This window comes from Homo sapiens, chromosome 1 (assembly GCF_000001405.40).
Source record: "Homo sapiens chromosome 1, GRCh38.p14 Primary Assembly".
NCBI lineage: Eukaryota > Metazoa > Chordata > Mammalia > Primates > Hominidae > Homo > Homo sapiens.
Window position 1 is genome coordinate 236,522,636 of NC_000001.11, and position 16,554 is coordinate 236,539,189.

At 44.6% G+C, this 16,554-nt stretch overlaps 1 protein-coding gene and 1 long non-coding RNA gene across 11 annotated transcripts in view, besides 2 other annotated features; one reads left to right on the top strand and one right to left on the bottom strand.

Annotated features, from left to right (window-relative positions):
- LGALS8 (galectin 8) overlaps positions 1-16,554 on the top strand; it is a 34,768-nt gene that overhangs the window by 4,422 nt on the left and 13,792 nt on the right. For 4 of the 10 annotated variants that reach the window (XM_047420410.1, XM_047420411.1, XM_047420409.1 and 1 more), the window contains 4 exons: positions 1,335-1,426; positions 3,333-3,480; positions 14,862-14,950; positions 16,244-16,454. In XM_047420410.1, coding sequence (XP_047276366.1) covers positions 3,436-3,480; positions 14,862-14,950; positions 16,244-16,454 — 345 coding nt within the window. In that variant the 5' untranslated portion in view covers positions 1,335-1,426; positions 3,333-3,435. Of the gene's footprint in view, positions 1-962; positions 990-1,334; positions 1,427-3,332; positions 3,481-14,861; positions 14,951-16,243; positions 16,455-16,554 lie in introns of those variants that run through there. The other 6 variants (NM_201544.4, XM_011544188.4, XM_017001274.3 and 3 more) reach the window with 3 other exon arrangements.
- Positions 434-1,873, bottom strand: LGALS8-AS1 (LGALS8 antisense RNA 1). Its single transcript, NR_034040.1, has one exon. It is a non-coding gene; the product is annotated as an LGALS8 antisense RNA 1 (long non-coding RNA).
- Positions 1,640-1,689: a silencer, noted in NCBI's record as "silent region_2004". NCBI's record gives its function as "represses an Ori minimal core promoter by ATAC-STARR-seq in GM12878 lymphoblastoid cells {active_cell/tissue: GM12878}" and the evidence as "EXISTENCE:reporter gene assay evidence [ECO:0000049][PMID:35858748]".
- Positions 13,274-13,568: a silencer, noted in NCBI's record as "tiled region #1811; K562 Repressive non-DNase unmatched - State 14:Gen5'". NCBI's record gives its function as "represses a minimal TATA promoter and a strong SV40 promoter by Sharpr-MPRA in K562 cells {active_cell/tissue: K562}" and the evidence as "EXISTENCE:reporter gene assay evidence [ECO:0000049][PMID:27701403]".

The following is a 16,554-nucleotide window of genomic DNA, read 5'->3' on the forward strand; positions in this document are numbered from 1 at the left end:
GATATCTATTTTATGCAAAGCATTACACTATGCACTGGAGACTGTATAAGACAAGTTCCTTTTCTCAAACTACAGTCGAGTTGGATAGATAAAACACACAACACATACCAAAAGACAGCTATAAATCCAAGGCAGTGTATGTCAAGGGTAAATTCACCTATTCAGATTGGATCTTGAGAAGTGCATCAGGCTTGGAAAATGGGTAAGGAGGAGAGAAAAGCAACAGTGAATCAGAACATGAGTTCCCAGTTATGGGACTTGTAATGAATTCCTCAATTAAAACAAAAAATAATGAAAACAAAAGCCAGGGAGGAGAAAGCCCACGTTAATGACACTAAAATATATCTTTCCAAACAAATGTGGATAAAAGCCAAGTAGAGAAGATGAGAACTTTGAGGTCCCTAACAGAAAATAAACAGTAAGCAGCCAGCCATTCCAAGTGGCTGACATGACTTTGTTTAACTTTATTTGTATTTCTGGCTGGTGTGTTTACAGCCAATAGGTCAAACTATCAGTCAGTGTAGGGCCCTGAGAAGTCGGGTATTTAAGAGCATCTAATAGGCACAGAATTGTGCTCCATACTGCTTAAACTGTTCCCTAAGTGTCCAATTTGGAGAAAACACCCACACGCAGGATAACTGGCGAGTGACGCGGAGTGGCTGCGAGTCCAAGTTATCACTAACGGATGGGGAGCTTGGGCTGGGCACAGTCCAGCGTACTGAACCCTTCCCCCACCGTTTCACCTGCATACAGAGGTGTGTACTGTCAAAAAGCAGCGCCTCCAAGTCTCTTCTGGCACTGTCTGGACTTGGATCCGAGGCAGACGAGGAAGCTGAGAAAACCCTGGCGTTGACCCCGTGGACCTGGGCGCCCCGGGAAGGCCAGCGCTTGGTCCAGGCAGGCGGGGCCTGTGCGGTGACCACCCTGGTCCTGAAAAGTCCCAGCCCCGAGCGCCCTCCCTCCTAGACCTGGAGGCCTGGAACAGCCAGGTGGACGTCGGCCCACCTTTCTTTTCTTTCCTTCCCATTTTCCTACCACCTCCCACCCCACTCCGCCTTCCGGGCAAAGGCAGCCAGATCCACCCAGGACACATTCTTTGTCCTTATCCCTCTGTGCTCGTCCCACAGCAAGCCAGTCGCGGTCCAAGGCTCCAGAGGCTGTGCAGGAGGCCGAGCTGGGTGGCGATCAGCGGCGGGTCCCTGTCCAAAACCCAGCAGAGCCGCCAGGGACGCCCCAGACACAGAAGGCGGGGCGCGGGGAGGGTGGGGAGACCACAGCAGTGAGGCGCGCGAGCCGGGAAGTGAACGAGGACTGACTCCTGTCGCTTCCCGTAGCCGCCCACGGACGCCAGAGCCGGGAACCCTGACGGCACTTAGCTGCTGACAAACAACCTGCTCCGTGGAGCGCCTGAAACACCAGTCTTTGGGTGAGTCGCGCGACCCCCGGCCTCGGGTGGCGGGGCAGTCGCTAGAGGCGTGGCTGCTCTGAGGGTCTCGCCAGTGGAGGATGGCATTCGGATGTCACGGCTCCTAAATCACCATTTGATGGGTGGGACAGTGTCCAGTCCACCCCGACCCGCCGGTCCTCACCGCGGCAGAGCCGGGGCTGGGTGGCGGGGACGCTGCCTCTGCAGGCGAGGCGCTCCGGGGCATAAGGGATTATCAGGAGTCGCGGCCTTTCTTGGACATCCCTGGCTGGGGTCAGGCTGTTTGCCCTGGGGTGTCTCCTCGCTGCAAACCCACCCCACCTGGGCTGCTTTCTCACCTGTTCCCTCCTAGCCTGAGGCCGAGCGCCACCTCCAAGTGGAGGAATCTGGGGAAGTTTCCTTCCCGGAATTTGTAGTGACAGTGGAGTGACCTCCATTGCGTTCCCTGCCTCTAACACGCTCTTTAGGATGCCGAGTCATTTGACTGCAGTGTTAAACATTGCAAAGCGCAAGTCATGTGACTTCCTTTGACCGTACGTGAAACTTAAGTGATGGCTGCTTGTGATGCATACGAAGTGTTCATGCTGGCGGGACCTGTCCCTGGGGATACTTCGGGGGTTGCGTGATTTAATGCAAGCAGATGGCTTAAATTGGGTCACTGGCTTGTTATTATACATGTGTATGGCAACTCGGCATCCATTCTTTTTGCTCTTGTTCTTACTTCCTGAATTGAGTCACGGAGCCAGAGTTTTGAGGTTTTGACTAACGAATTAAGTTAATGACATGGGGCTATATTTAGGTGGTAAACCAAGAGGGATACAGTTTTTTTTCTTAATAAAGAAAAAGTGATAGATTTGATCGGTGTGTATTGTTGGTGTGCAGTATAATGACAGAATTGCTGGAAGTAAAATACAGGAAGCTCTGGTTTCATTTCCCCTTTAGTTCTGCTTAAAGTCGAGTTTTTCCTGGAGCTATTAAATGTAGTGTAGTGTCCATGAGTGCTTTTATCTTAAAAAATGTGGCTGATGCTTTCCAACACTCCCCTGCCCTGTGATTATTATTTTTTTAAGCAACAGAGAAAACCGTATCTTAATAGTATTAAAAGTATTGGATTTTTCCCTACTTTGATTTGTTTAAATTGGAGGAGGAAGAGCAATTCTTTCTATTCACAATAATAATAGCTAACATAGCGCTTACTCTTTCGCTGTTTTATTAACTCAATCCTCAGAACAAACCAATGATGTGAATACTGTAATTCTCATTTTATGGAAATGAAAATCTAAATGAATACCTCTGGTAATTGTACGGGACTGTTTGATTAGTATTTACCATTAATTAATTAAATTTTTTTTTTTTTTTGAGATGGAGTCTCGTTCTGTTGCCCAGGCTGGAGTGCAGTGGCACAATCTCGGCTCACTTCAACCTCCGTCTCCCAGGTTCAAGCAATTCTCCTGTCTCAGCCTCCTGAGTAGCTGGGACTACAGGTGCATGCCACTACGTCTGGCTAATTTTTGTATTTTTAGTAGGGATGGGATTTCACCATATTGGTCAGGCTGGTCTCTAACTCCTGAACCTCAGGTGATCCACCCGCCTTGGCCTCCCAAAGTGCTGGGATTACAGGTGTGAGCCACCATGCCTGGCCTATTTTAGTATTTTTAATAATAAATTCCATGTTAGAAATTTTCTACTGATGTATTTTTTAAGTCAATATTTCCTACACTCACAATCCAAAATTATTTAGTATATGAGCACACTGGTAAGAATGGGAGGCAGATCGTTGATTGTAATAATATTCTATTATTTGGTAAATATCAGTAACATAATATATAATTTAAATTTTAAAATAGGATATGAAGAAAAATGCTACATGCTTACTTTTCTTTTCCTCTATTTTTACTTTACACAGGGCCAGTGCCTCAGTTTCAATCCAGGTAACCTTTAAATGAAACTTGCCTAAAATCTTAGGTCATACACAGAAGAGACTCCAATCGACAAGAAGCTGGAAAAGAATGATGTTGTCCTTAAACAACCTACAGAATATCATCTATAACCCGGTAACTGATTTCTATAAGATAACTTTTTACCTATGCCAGGACAGATCCAATAGAATATTAATTATCCATTGGGAGACAGGGCAAGAATAAAAGCCAGTGAACATATTTAAAGCACCTACTATGTAATAGAGATGGTGGTGGGTGCTGATTACAAAACAGCTCTTGTCCTCTAGTGGAGGAAGAAGTCACAATGATAATATGACGTGATGAAACAGTGTTATGAACAGGGAACGTCTGGGTAGAGTGGAGGGAATGCCAACTTTTGGTGATGGGAGGAGGCTCAGCTAATCATAAATTGTAGTTTTTAAAGGAAAATGGATTTCTTACTCTACAAGTTTTTCATTTTCTTTTTTAATTAGAGCTGTCCATGAGAAGTTAATGTCTCGATCTTTCCCTCAGCCTTTCAAATACTGCTTGGCCCTTGAGCAGGGAAAATGTCAAAAGCCAATGGGGAGATGGAGAGTGTGAAGTAGTAAGGGTCTCGTGCAGTTCAGGCAGGTCCTAGAATCCCTGAATGACTGTAATTGCTGGAAATTGCCCTGTAATCCTGAGCAGTAAAGAGCTTGTTTTAGTTTTATGTGGTGGTGAGAATCTTTAGGAATGTCTAGTTTCCACGTATCTGAAGCTGAATCCTGAATCGAGGTCTGAAAAAGGACAGCCACTTTTTTAGTAAACCGCCTAGAAGATTCTTGGGCAAAAGGAAGGGTGAGAATCCTTAAAATGAGGCCCTAAACCAGTTTTGTTAGTGTGTGTGGGTTCAAGTTTTTGTCATTTACTTTATAGCTGTATTTCCTTTTTCCCTAAGTTTTAATGTCATTGTGTAAGAATGAGGTATCGCTGCTGTATCAAGCAAAGTCAGTTTTAGGAGAAATAGCCTTTCAGTGGTAGTAAGTTTAAAAAAGATGACTTCCTGAAGCGGAAGCTTGTGAGACATTTAAGATGACTTTGCGCATGTTAGAGTTAAAAACATCCCAAGGTTGTAAACTGATTTCCTGCAAAGATCTTAACAACAACAACAACAACAAACTAGGCTGCCTGCCACGGGTGTCTGAAGTATCATCTTGGCTCAAGCTGGGAGAATGGATAAAGGTTACACTGTTCATTTCTGCCCTTCACACAGAAAAGAAGATAATTTTATAGGTAAAATTCGTGCATATCTTGATTCTAGCATACTGCTGATTCCTGTAGTTTCTGGGGTCAGTACTCTCAACTATTGAGGTGGAACAAAAATAAGTAGACTTCATTTCTTGAGGAAGGGGATCTGGAGAAGTAGTTCTGCGCTAGAGCAGAAAATGCCTTCAGTCTTGTGGCATGGGCTGGATGCTGTTCTGAGGATAATGCATTTCCAAGGGAGATATTTTTGGCAAATAGCTTTTTTTTCTTTCTTTTCAAAATTCTCTGTTTTATTATCAGTTCTCACAAAAGAGTCGGAAAGGTTAGAGGTAGACTGAACTGAATGGCAAAAACATTTTGCGCTCTCTTTACGTTTCACTGCTGTAAAATATTTATAGTATAAAGGGCCTGTATTGCACTGAATTTCTCTCATTTGTAGCTAGTTGCCCTTTCAATGTTCCAAAAAAAAAGGCTGTAAATAACTTATTTTATTTATTCAATTAATTTTTTTTTTTTAATTTTTTGAGATATAGTTTCCCTCTGGTCACCCAGGCTGGAGTGAAATGATGCAATCTCGGCTTACTGCAATTTCTGCCTCCCGGGTTCAAGCAATTCTAGTGCCTCAGCCTCCTGAGTAGCTGGGACTGCAGGCACGTGCTACCATGCCCGGCTAATTTTTGTGTTTTTAGTAGATATGGGGTTTCACAGTGTTGGCCAGCCTAGTCTCAAACTCCTGACCTCAGGTGATGTGCCCACCTTGACCTCCAAAAGTGCTGGGATTACAGGCGTGAGGCACCATGCCTGGCCAACTTAGTTATTTAAAGATAATCAATTAGTATATTTTATAAGCTAGACTTAGGAAAACGGTTTTCAGCTGGGCATGGTGGCTCACACCTGTAATCCCAGCACTTTGGGAGGCCGAGGCAGGTGGATCACGAGGTCAGGAGTTCAAGACCAGCCTGGCCAAGATGGCGAAACTCCGTCTCTACTTAAAAATACAAAAATTAGCCAGGCGTGATGGCAGCCTCCTGTAATCCCAGCTACTCGGGAGGCTGAGGCAAGAGAATCACTTGAACCTGGGAGGCGGAGGTTGCAGTGAGCCGAGATGGTGCCACTGCACTCCAGCCTGGGTGACAGAGCGAGACTCCATCTCAAAAAAAAAAAAACCCCCCCACACACAAAACCTGTTTTCTTGAATCATGGTTGTTTTGTTACTGATAGGTTCAATAAGTAAATATATTTATTGTCTGTTGTATTCTTTATTAGGCATTATAAACACACCGCCACTTTTTAATTTTTATTTCATTAATGTTTCCAATTTTTTTTTTTTTTTTTTTTTTTAAGACAGAGGCTCGCTCTGTCATCCAGGCTGGAGTGGAGTGGTGCAGTCTTACCCCACTGCAACCTCCACCTCCTGGGCTCAGCCTTGTAAATAGCTGGGACTACAGGCATGCACCACCATGCCTGGCTAATTTTTGTATTTTTTTTGGTAAAGACAGAGTTTTGCCATGTTTCTCAGTCTGGTCAAGCACTCCTCCCGCCTCGGCCTCCCAAAGTGTTGGGATTACAGGCATGAGCCACCATGCCTGGCCTATTTCTAATATTTTGGTCCACATTGGTGTTAGACCAACTGTCCACATTAAGTTTTCTTGGAAAAGATGAAGTAAATATTGCAACTGGCCTATGTATTTTTTTCCCTATTTAGTATATTTCTTTGACTAGTTCAACTGATAGAATTCCAAGACTTAAAAAAGTCAGGCTCTAAGGCTGGGTCCAGAGGCTCATGCCTGTAATTCCAGCACTGTGGGAGGCCAAGGCTAGTGGATCACTTGAGCCCAGGAGTTCAAGACCAGCTTGAGCAACATAGTGAGACCTTGTCTCTCTATAAAAATACAAAAATTAACTGGGGATTGTGGCGCATGTCTGTAGTCCCAGCTATGAGGAAGAGTGAGGTGGGAGGATTGCTTGAGCCCAGGAGGTTGAGGCTGCAGTGAGCTGTGAGTTTGACACTGTGCTTCATTCTGGGTGACAGAGCAAGAACCATGTTCAAAAATAAAAATAAAAAGTCAGAGTCCGGGTGCTGCGGCTCATGCCTGTAATCCCAGCACTTTGGGAAGCCGAGGCGAGAGGATCACTTGAGGTCAGGAGTTCGAGACCAGCCTGACTAACACAGTGAAACCCCGTCTCTACTAAAAATACAAAAATTAGCCGGGCATGGTGGCGGTGGCCTGTAATCCCAGCTACATGGGAGGTTGAGGCAGGAGAATCACTTGAACCCGGGAGGTGGAGGTTGTAATGAGCCAAGATTGCACAACTGCACTGCATCCTGGGCGACAGAGTGATACTTCATCTCAAAAAAAAAAAAAGAAAAAAAAAGTTAGGCTTCCTTTTCTGTTTTTTTTTTTTTTTCTTTCTTCTCTTTTTTTTTTTTTTTTTAAGAGATGGAGGCTTGCTCTATTGCCCATGCTGGAGTGCAGTGGTGCAATCTCGGCTCACTGCCACCTTTGCCTCCTGGGTTCTAGCAATTCTCCTGCCTCAGCCTCCCGAGTAGCTGGGACTACAGGCGCACACCGCCACGCCCCGCTAATTGTTCTTTTGTATTTTAGTAGAGACGGGGTTTCACCATGTTGGCCAGCCTGGTCTCGAACTCCTGAGCTCAGGCAATCCGCCCGCCTCGGCCTCCCAAAGTGCTAGGATTATAGGCGTGAACCACCGTGGCTGGCCACTTACTTTTCTTTCTATTGAATTTGAATGAATAATTTGGAAGACAGTATCTTTACTTCATACCAGGAATGCTGCCAGTGAAATTTCTTGTTTGGCAGTTCATTATCTACCTATATATTTAATTTTGCTATTGTTTATAGAGTTCTTAAGATATGATTAAATGCTAGCTGGTTAAGAAATCATTTAGAAATGAAACAGAATTGGTTGTTACTCCAAGTTAATAAGTTGCTTGTCAACATAAATCCTACCTGGTACCCAGTTTTCTTAGGAACCTTGCTTCCATGTTTATCCTTTTCTGCTTAGTATTCTAAGTACTCCTTTTTTACCTTACAATTTAGTCTTAAAACACAACACAGTCAAGTCTTTCTTTTGTAACCTGTGAGATACCTTCTAGCCTTTGTGCTGTTTTTCTTCTCTTTTTGCTGCCTGCCTTCCTGACTGAGAGTGGATTTCCTCACTAAGGCTCTGCCCTCTGATTTTTCACTCTCTTTTCTTTTTTGGTTTTACTAGTGAAATTTTGTCTTTAATGTCTCTTTCTTTTATGTCTTTACCGATCACTCATAGATTTTTTTTTCCATATGTATCCAGTTCCAACCTTTCACCTAATGTGAACCCCCAACTCTCAGTTGCTCAGCCAGCCCTTCAAGACTAGGAGTTCAAAACCAAACTTGCATCTTCCTTCCCAAACCAGCTTTCCTCTTGCAGTTTTCTGCAGCAGGATCCTTCTGCTGTTTAACTTTTGCCTCCTCCCTTGTTTCCTAGCACCCAATAGTTGGAAGATAGTCTGTCTTCAAAATTTTAAACTACATTTATGTCCAAACCAGTGGCTTTTCCTTTTAAAAAAATTTAAAGATAATATGTGCAAATCATTTTTTTAAAATTCAAACAGTATTTAAGAGTTTCAGTGAAACATGCATTTTCCTTCTACCCTGGTACTTAGTTTTACTCCCCAAGGGCAATCACTTTTTACTGGTTTTTAGAAATATATCCTTCCTGAGATACTTATGAATATCCAAAAGTGTGTGTGTTGTGTATATCACCTTTTATATATCCTGTCTCTTTACGTGCATGCATTTTACCGTATAAACTGTTTTCTACCCTGCTTTTTCTATTTGACCTATTTTGGAAATGTCATTTTATTTAGAACTTCCTCATTTATTTTAACAGCTGCATAATTAGCAGTAAAACTTATGTAAGCAGTCCCTTGTGAAGGGCTGTGTCTTTTTGCGATTATATCCGGTGCTATAGTGTACATCCTTGTGTGTGCATCTTGGTGTGCCTGTGCTACGTATTTCTGTAGGATAAATCTGTAAAAGTGGAATCACTAGGTCAGAGGGTATGATCCATTTTCTTTACTTATTTATTTTATTTATTTATTCATTTATTTTTGAGACAGAGTCTTGCTCTGTCGCCCAGGCTGGAGTGCAGTGGCATGATCTTGGCTTACTGCAAGCTCCGCCTCCCGGGTTCACACCATTCTCCTGCCTCAGCCTCCGGAGTAGCTGGGACTACAGGCGCCCGCCACCCACGCCTGGCTAATTTTTTTGTATTTTTAGTAGAGACGGGGTTTCACCATGTTAGCCAGGATGGTCTCGATCTCCTGACCTTGTGATCCACCCATCTCAGCCTCCCAAAGTGCTGGGATTACAGGTGTGAGCCACCGCGCCCGGCCCCATTTTATTATCTTTATTTGCTTGGATCCTTCTTAGCTTCTTCAATGTTAAAGATATTGACAGTTTTCCTCTTACTGAAATTTATAAATCCATTGACTCCCTTGATATTATTGCCCTGGCCTGACTGATTCTTCTCTCTCCTTTCTCTTCTCACCCCATGTTGAGGTCCCCAAGGTCACACCCAGTTTTGATGACTCACCAGCATAGAGTTGTACTTGTGCCTATGATTTATTGCGGTGAAAGGATATAGAGCAAAATTGCAAACGGAAAGGCACCTGGGGTGAATTCCAGGGGAAATCCAGTGCAAGTTCCAAGGTCGCCTCCCAGTGGAGTCACATAGGATGTGCTTACATCCTCCAGCAAGGAGTTGTGACAACACTTGTGAAATGTGGACTGCCAGGGAAGCTCATCAGAGCCTCAGTGCCTAGGGTTTTTACTGGAGGCTGGTCACATAAGCACCCTCACACATATCAAAAAATTCTGGTCCCCCAGAAGGAAAGCAGGTGTTTAGCATAACCATATTATTTGCATGAACAGTTCAGGTACAGGAAATCCCCGTTACCAGTTAGGTTGGTGGGTGCCCTTCCCAAATCCCAAGTTCCCAGACACCAGCCAGGGGCCTGCCTCGTAAGGAGGCCTTTCCAGGACAGCAGTCAGGCCTGCCAATGTTAATTCTTTTCTGCATACCTCCTAATTTTAGAAACCACCGAGCCTTTGCTGCCTGACCTGTCCTGCTTTTCGATTTCTTTATCTACTTTGATATCTTTACAAATGATCTTTACCCTGACTTTTAAATGTGTGCTCTGGCCATTCACCTAGCGTGTGGTTCTGAGTCTCCAAGTCTTAGCAGATTTGCTCTCAGATGCTCTGCCAACGCTTCACACCAAGTATTACAAACTAAACTCGTCATCTTCCTCCTGAAACCTGTCTCCCAGGCCAGGCGCGGTGGCTCACACCTGTAATCCCAGTACTTTGGGAGGCCGAGGTGGGTGGATCACCTGAGGTCAGGAGTTCGAGACCAGCCTGGCCAACTTGGTAAAACCCCATCTCTACGAAAAATACAAAAAAATTAGCCAGGCGTGGTGGCAGGCACCTGTAATCCCAGCTATTCAGGAGGCTGAGGCAGGAGAATCGCTTGAACCCGGGAGGCGGAGATTGCAGTAAGCCGAGATCACGCCATTGCACTCCAGCCTGGGCAACAAAAGTGAAACTCCATCTCAAGAAAAACAAAAAACAAAAAACAAAAAACCTGTTTTCTCCCCAGCTTTGTCATGTATTTAGTGGCCTTATGTAGACAGTTTCCTTTGAAACATCTCTTGGACTTCTCTGCTCTTCCAGGGCCATTGCCACTGACCTGGAATGTGTCCTTATCGTTTCACGCCAGGCTTATGGCAGCAGTCAGTCACCCAGATGACCTCCTGACCTCTGGCTTATTTCACCCCCACTGGACTGTTGTTCCTAAACACTTCTTTCGTATGTCACTCTAAAATCTGACCCTGGCTGTACCTTTCTTTAACTACTCCCTGACTGCGTGCTGAGAGAAGATGGGTCTTGTCTTTTCCTGCCTCTCTGCTTTTGTAAACTGCCATTTCTACCTGAAGTGGCAACTGAAATCATATCTTCTTCATAAACTGTCTTTGGCTACCTCAGTTAGAATTCCTTATCCCATTTTCCTGAAGCATTTCTTTGACTCTTCTTTACTGCTCCCCCACCCTTTTTTTTTTCTTTGAGACTGAATTTTGCTTGTTGCCCAGGCTGGAGTGCAATGGCCCGATCTCGGCTCATTGCAACCTCCGCCTCCTGGGTTCAAGTGATTCTCCTGCCTCAGCCTCCTGAGTAGCTGGGATTACAGTCATGTGCCACCATGCCCGGCTAATTTTGTATTTTTAGTAGAGATGGGGTTTCTCCACGTTGGTCAGGCTGGTCTTCAACTCCCAACCTCAAGTGATCTGCCCACCTTCGCCTCCCAAAATGCTGGGATTACAGGTGTTAGCCACTGCGCCTGACCCCCATTTTTTTTTTTTTTAAAGATGTTGAATTGGTCAGGGTTTGTAGTTACAAGCAACAGAAGCCAACTCTTTAAGCAGAAAAGGAATTTGCTAAATGATAGTGCAGAGTTCTCAGAATCTCTAGCAGGATGAAGAACCAGGCTTGGAGAATAGGTAGCCACAGATACACAAGCATACTGTAGGACGGTTCCCATGAAGAGGCATCTGTTGTCACCACTGGACACAGATGGTACTGTGTCTCTGCTACTCTACCAATGCCACTGCTGTCTCTGACCCCAGATGTAGCTCCCTCTGACCCTGGATGCAGCTCCCTCTGACCCTCGATATAGCTGCCCCTGACCCCGGATGTAGCTGCCTTTGACCCCAGATGTAGCTTTCTCCAAACCCAGATATAGCGGCTGCCCCCTTGCCAGAGTGAATACTGCGTCATTGTGGCTTCTTCTTGTCACTGGTTCTTACTTAAAAGCTGAGCTGGAAGTTCTAATGGGCAGTTTTGTCACCTGCTCTTACCTTGTTGCAGTCTAGATGAGGTCTAATGTTCATAAGCTAGGGGATTTTCAGATATGGAAAGGGATACCAATTTTCAGCAGCCAAATAGAGTATCACATTTTCACTCCATGTTTCCTGGGTGTCTGTTATGTTTCCTGGGTGTCTGACTCTTAGGCTTCTTTCAAGCTGCAGTCTGCCTAATAGAGAGCCTTGCATTTAATCATCAAAAAGGCAAAGCAATATGAATCAGCAAGGGTGTTTTGGGAAATAACAGCAAACCTGACTGTGGCGTAAGCTTGTGGTATTGTCTCCAGTGTGATCAGATCTGTATTTTAATTTTTTAAATGTAAATTAATAATGATCTGTGAATCACCAAAGTAGCTTGGAGTAGCCTAGAAAACAATGTATGTCCTCCGTTTTCACAGAAGCCACATAGTCGTGGGTTAAATGAGTCAGCGGCAGGGCACTGTGTCTCATAGTTAAAAAAAAAAAAAAGTATTACTGAAGTAATGCAGGATCTTTTCTGAAGTAGAAGGCATGATGAACCCAGAAAACTAAAGCAGCAAGTGGCCACCGTTCTTAGCATAGTTGTTTCTCAAACTGGAACAACCTATAAACAGTTGTGAACAAGGTATTAGAAGTGATGGGGGCCGGGTGCGGTAGCTTCTCCCAAAGCTCATTACCTCCCAAAGCAACCCCAGTACTTTGGGAGGATCACTTTGAGCCCAGGAGTTCCAGACCAGCCCGGCCAACATGGCAAAACCCCATCTCTCTAAAAGTACAAAAAATTAGCTGGGCATGGTGGCACATGCCTGTAGTCCCAGCTACTTGGATGGCTGAGGCAGGAGAATCGCTTGAACCCGGGAGGCAGAGGTTGCAGTGAGCTGAGATCACGCCACTGCACTCTAGCCTGGGGGACAGAGTGAGACTCTGTCTCAAAAAAAAAAAAAAAAAAAAAAAAGTGATGGGAATAGATTGTTTTGTCTCAAAAAGCTCTTTCCAACACTAAAATGAAACATATAATTAAAAATATTTTTCTGGCTATAGAAATATCGATGCTTATTATAGACATCTGCAAAGTATGAAAATATATGAAGAAAAAAATTAAAATCCCATCATCCCCCATGAAAACTATTGTTATCATTTTTGTCTGATTTCTTTAGTGTTTCTCTTTTTCTTTTTTTAATTTTTAATTTTTTTGAGTATGTAGTAGGTATATCTATTTATGGGGTATATGGCATATTTTGATACAGGATACAGTGTGTATTAGCAAGGTTTTCTTTTTAATGTTTATATTTATTTAGTTGAGATCATACTATATATGGCTCTATAGATTACTTTCTCACTTATATTACTAACTTGTGTTATTAAATATTCTGCATAAAGATAATTTTAAGATGAAATTTGATGTTATAAAAACTTCTCATTTTATTAAGAGATTAACGCTATGAAACCTGCTGCTATATATTCTTGGAACCAGCTGTGACCCAAAAGATCAATGTAGGGATGTAGGTCCTTCCCCATTCTCTACACACAAAATCAGATACTCTGATGTGCAGCTGTAGCCCCAGTCTACACTGTCTGTTGTATTTTTTGTTTTCTGGTGTCATGTGCCTCCCACCCTGCTCCTAGCAATTGCCATGACAACAAATAGATAATTGGCTTCCGTAATTTCTCATCTTATTGCCTAAGGCAACAGAGAGCTTGTGGGCTCAGCTTGCGGTTCAGCAGCTGCTTTGTTGCCTCTCCTCTGTATGTGTGAGGCCTGCCAGAGCCCACTTTCCAGACAGGTGAGAGTTCATTCATTCACCATGCAGTTACCGATCGTCTCTTGACCTGTGTCCTGGGGAGGTAAAGGTGATGAGCCAGTTCTGCCCCATGCAGCTCACAGTCTAGGCAAAGCTACATGCAAACAAACAGAATCCAAAGTGCTATCATGAACCCTCTGAGAGGGGCTGACTCAGCAGCCCAGGGAGCTTGAAGAAGGCTCCACAGAGGAGGCTGTGCCTCAAGGCGATTTCGGTTTAGGAGCCACCAATTTATAACCACTTTTCTGTGGCCCGTCTTATTTTATTTCTTATTTCTTGACAATCAGAAGTACCTTGGGTAGGTTTTACCATGCACATCGTAATTTGAGTGAGCTTAGTGTGAGGCTTAACGGTGTGTGGGCTGTACATCCTGGTCAGATGCTCTAGATGGAGGCAGATGGTTGTGATGCAGGAGAGGCAGCCACATAGCACAGGTCCCCAGCCAGTGGACTGGGAAGACAGTGTAGTCATCTCTGGGGAAGGGGAATGACAAGATCTGGCAGTGTGGCAGGTCCCAGAAAAAAAGGGCTGGGTTCTGGGCAGTGAGGGTGCAGGTTGAGACCTGAATACTGGGTGGAGCCAGCTGTCAGAGTCCACGCCTGCAGACTGGACTGGTCCACGGCAGGTGGATGCCATGTCTTGAAGACCCACAGGCACCCACTCATCCTCATGATCATGCAGTTCTCTGGTTTCTAACAGTGCAGTCTGGGTTGCAGTCTGGGAGTCCAGCAGAGAAGAGCAGGCCCTGGAATCCCAGGTGTGGGGGCGTGGCTTAACGTGGAGTTTCCTTCAGAGGCAGTGAGTGCTTGTCATTGTCTCCGTCAGCATTGGCTTTGGGCCTAGTGTGGCCTCGAACCTTCTGTTGGGATCAGCAGTGGAACAGTAGGAAAAGGAATGAGTAGACATGGCATTGCAACAAGTCTTTTTTTTTTTTTCTGTTAGAATTATCATATTAAGCAGAAGTTTTGCTTCACAAACTCTCAGCCAAATACAAAATACTATGAATAGTATTTACCTTGTGTCTCTTTCCAAAGAACTCATAGTGGTTTGCAGCTATTGCAGATATCCTGGCCATGAGGTATGCAGTTCCTTTTTTTTTTTTTGAGACGGAGCCTTGCTCTGTCGCCCAGGCTGGAGCATAGTGGCGCGATCTCGGCTCACTGCAAGCTCCGCCTCCCAGGTTCGTGCCATTCTCCTGCCTCAGCCTCCCGAGTAGCTGGGACTACAGGCGCCCACCACCACACCCGGCTAATTTTTGTATTTTTAGTAGAGACGGGGTTTCACCGTGTTAGCCAGGATGGTCTCGATCTGCTGACCTCGTGATCCTCCCGCCTCGGCCTCCCAAAGTGCTGGGATTACAGGCGTGAGCCACCGCGCCCGGCCGCAGTTCCTTTTTCTAGCTGTTTGAATAGGAAAGATGACTTGGAAAATGCTGGATTCTGAGCAGATTTATGTGCAGCCTTAAAAAGTGTAGTTTTTCTCTATCAATAATGAGTGTGGGTTGTAATTGCTTAGTAAGTAATTTTGTTTATGTAAACGTACATTTGTTAAATTTTTTTTCTTAGGTAATCCCGTTTGTTGGCACCATTCCTGATCAGCTGGATCCTGGAACTTTGATTGTGATACGTGGGCATGTTCCTAGTGACGCAGACAGGTAAAATCACTGTGCTAAAGGAAGGAGCATGAATAGGCTGTCTTTTTGTGATTGTGGAATGATAACAGAGTAAGGCGGGAGAGACCATTTGATACTTTGAGGCCCAATTAGCTTTCATCAGCAGCCCTGGCCAAGGTGCTGAGGAGATTGGAATGAATGACTAAATAAAGGTTATTGGGATTTATTTCATTGCTGTAAGTCTGATTTCAGTATAAAAAATTAGAACTATCAGCTGGATGTGGTGACTTAAACATACTTTTCCAGCACTTTGGGAGGCCAAGGCAGGAGGATTGTTTGAGGCCAGGAGTTTGAGACCAGCCTGGGCAACATAGTGAGACCCCCCATCTGTAAAAAAAAAAAAAATTTAAAAATTAACTGGCTTGGTGGTGTGCGCCTGTAGTTGTAGCTACTCAGGGGGCTGAGGTAGGAGGATTCCTTGAGCCCAGGAGTTTGAGGTTGCAGTGAGCTGTGATCGAGCCACTGCACTATAGCCTGGGTGACAAAAAAAAAAAAGAAAAAGAAAAAGAATTAGGTATGTCATTAAAGAAAGGAATTGTGGTCAGATGACAGGGACAGTCTAGTTTTAGTCTGACATTCCCACAGCATTACAGATCTAGTTCAGATGGTTTTACTGAATACCTGCTTTGGATACAAGCTGTGGTATCATTAGTGTTGGGCTCAGCTCTGTGTACCTAACACCTGAAGAGCAGTGGTTTAAGATGTGAAAATTAAGTCTCAAGGAGACAGCCCAGGCCTTTTCAGTTAACTCCTTCAAGTCGTTAGAGAAGTAGACTCCTTCGAGCTCACCACTCTGTTATCTTGAGGGTGAGGTAAGGTCCCCTTTCCCGTTTTCCTTGGCAGCCAGATTTCCAGCCCTCACTTCTGTGCTTTGGGTAGCTGGATGGGTGCATGTGGTGTTTGCGGGGAAACAGAGCTGGACAAAAGGCAAGTGCTTGCTGACTTCTAAGGCAGTTTCCAGTAGCCTTCCCTGAGCACTTCACTTCCATCTTACCAGCAGAGCTTTAGCTGCACAGGCAGGCCTAGCTGCGAGGGAGGCTGGGAAAGGTAGGTTTTTATTCTGGGCAGATTCAGACCCAGTTCAAACTCAGGGGCTATTTTACTGAGGAAGACAGAAAAGATTAGACAGTCAGCTCTTTAGGCCTCATAGTGAATGAATGAGGAGGGATTGGTCAGTCCCTTGTCACTGGGCCTGGAGTGTAGTGCCTGCTGGTCCTTTACTGGTGGCTTTCCTTTCTGAGCACTCATGGGGCCCCTGTGTCTTCCCTCATATAGATTCCAGGTGGATCTGCAGAATGGCAGCAGCATGAAACCTCGAGCCGATGTGGCCTTTCATTTCAATCCTCGTTTCAAAAGGGCCGGCTGCATTGTTTGCAATACTTTGATAAATGAAAAATGGGGACGGGAAGAGATCACCTATGACACGCCTTTCAAAAGAGAAAAGTCTTTTGAGATCGTGATTATGGTGCTGAAGGACAAATTCCAGGTAGGTTTTGGAGAGGGACAGGTTGAGTCCTCATTAGTGAGCAGGAGTGCACAGGGGTGCTTTTCACATTTGTGAGCCCAGCCTTATATTTCCTACACCT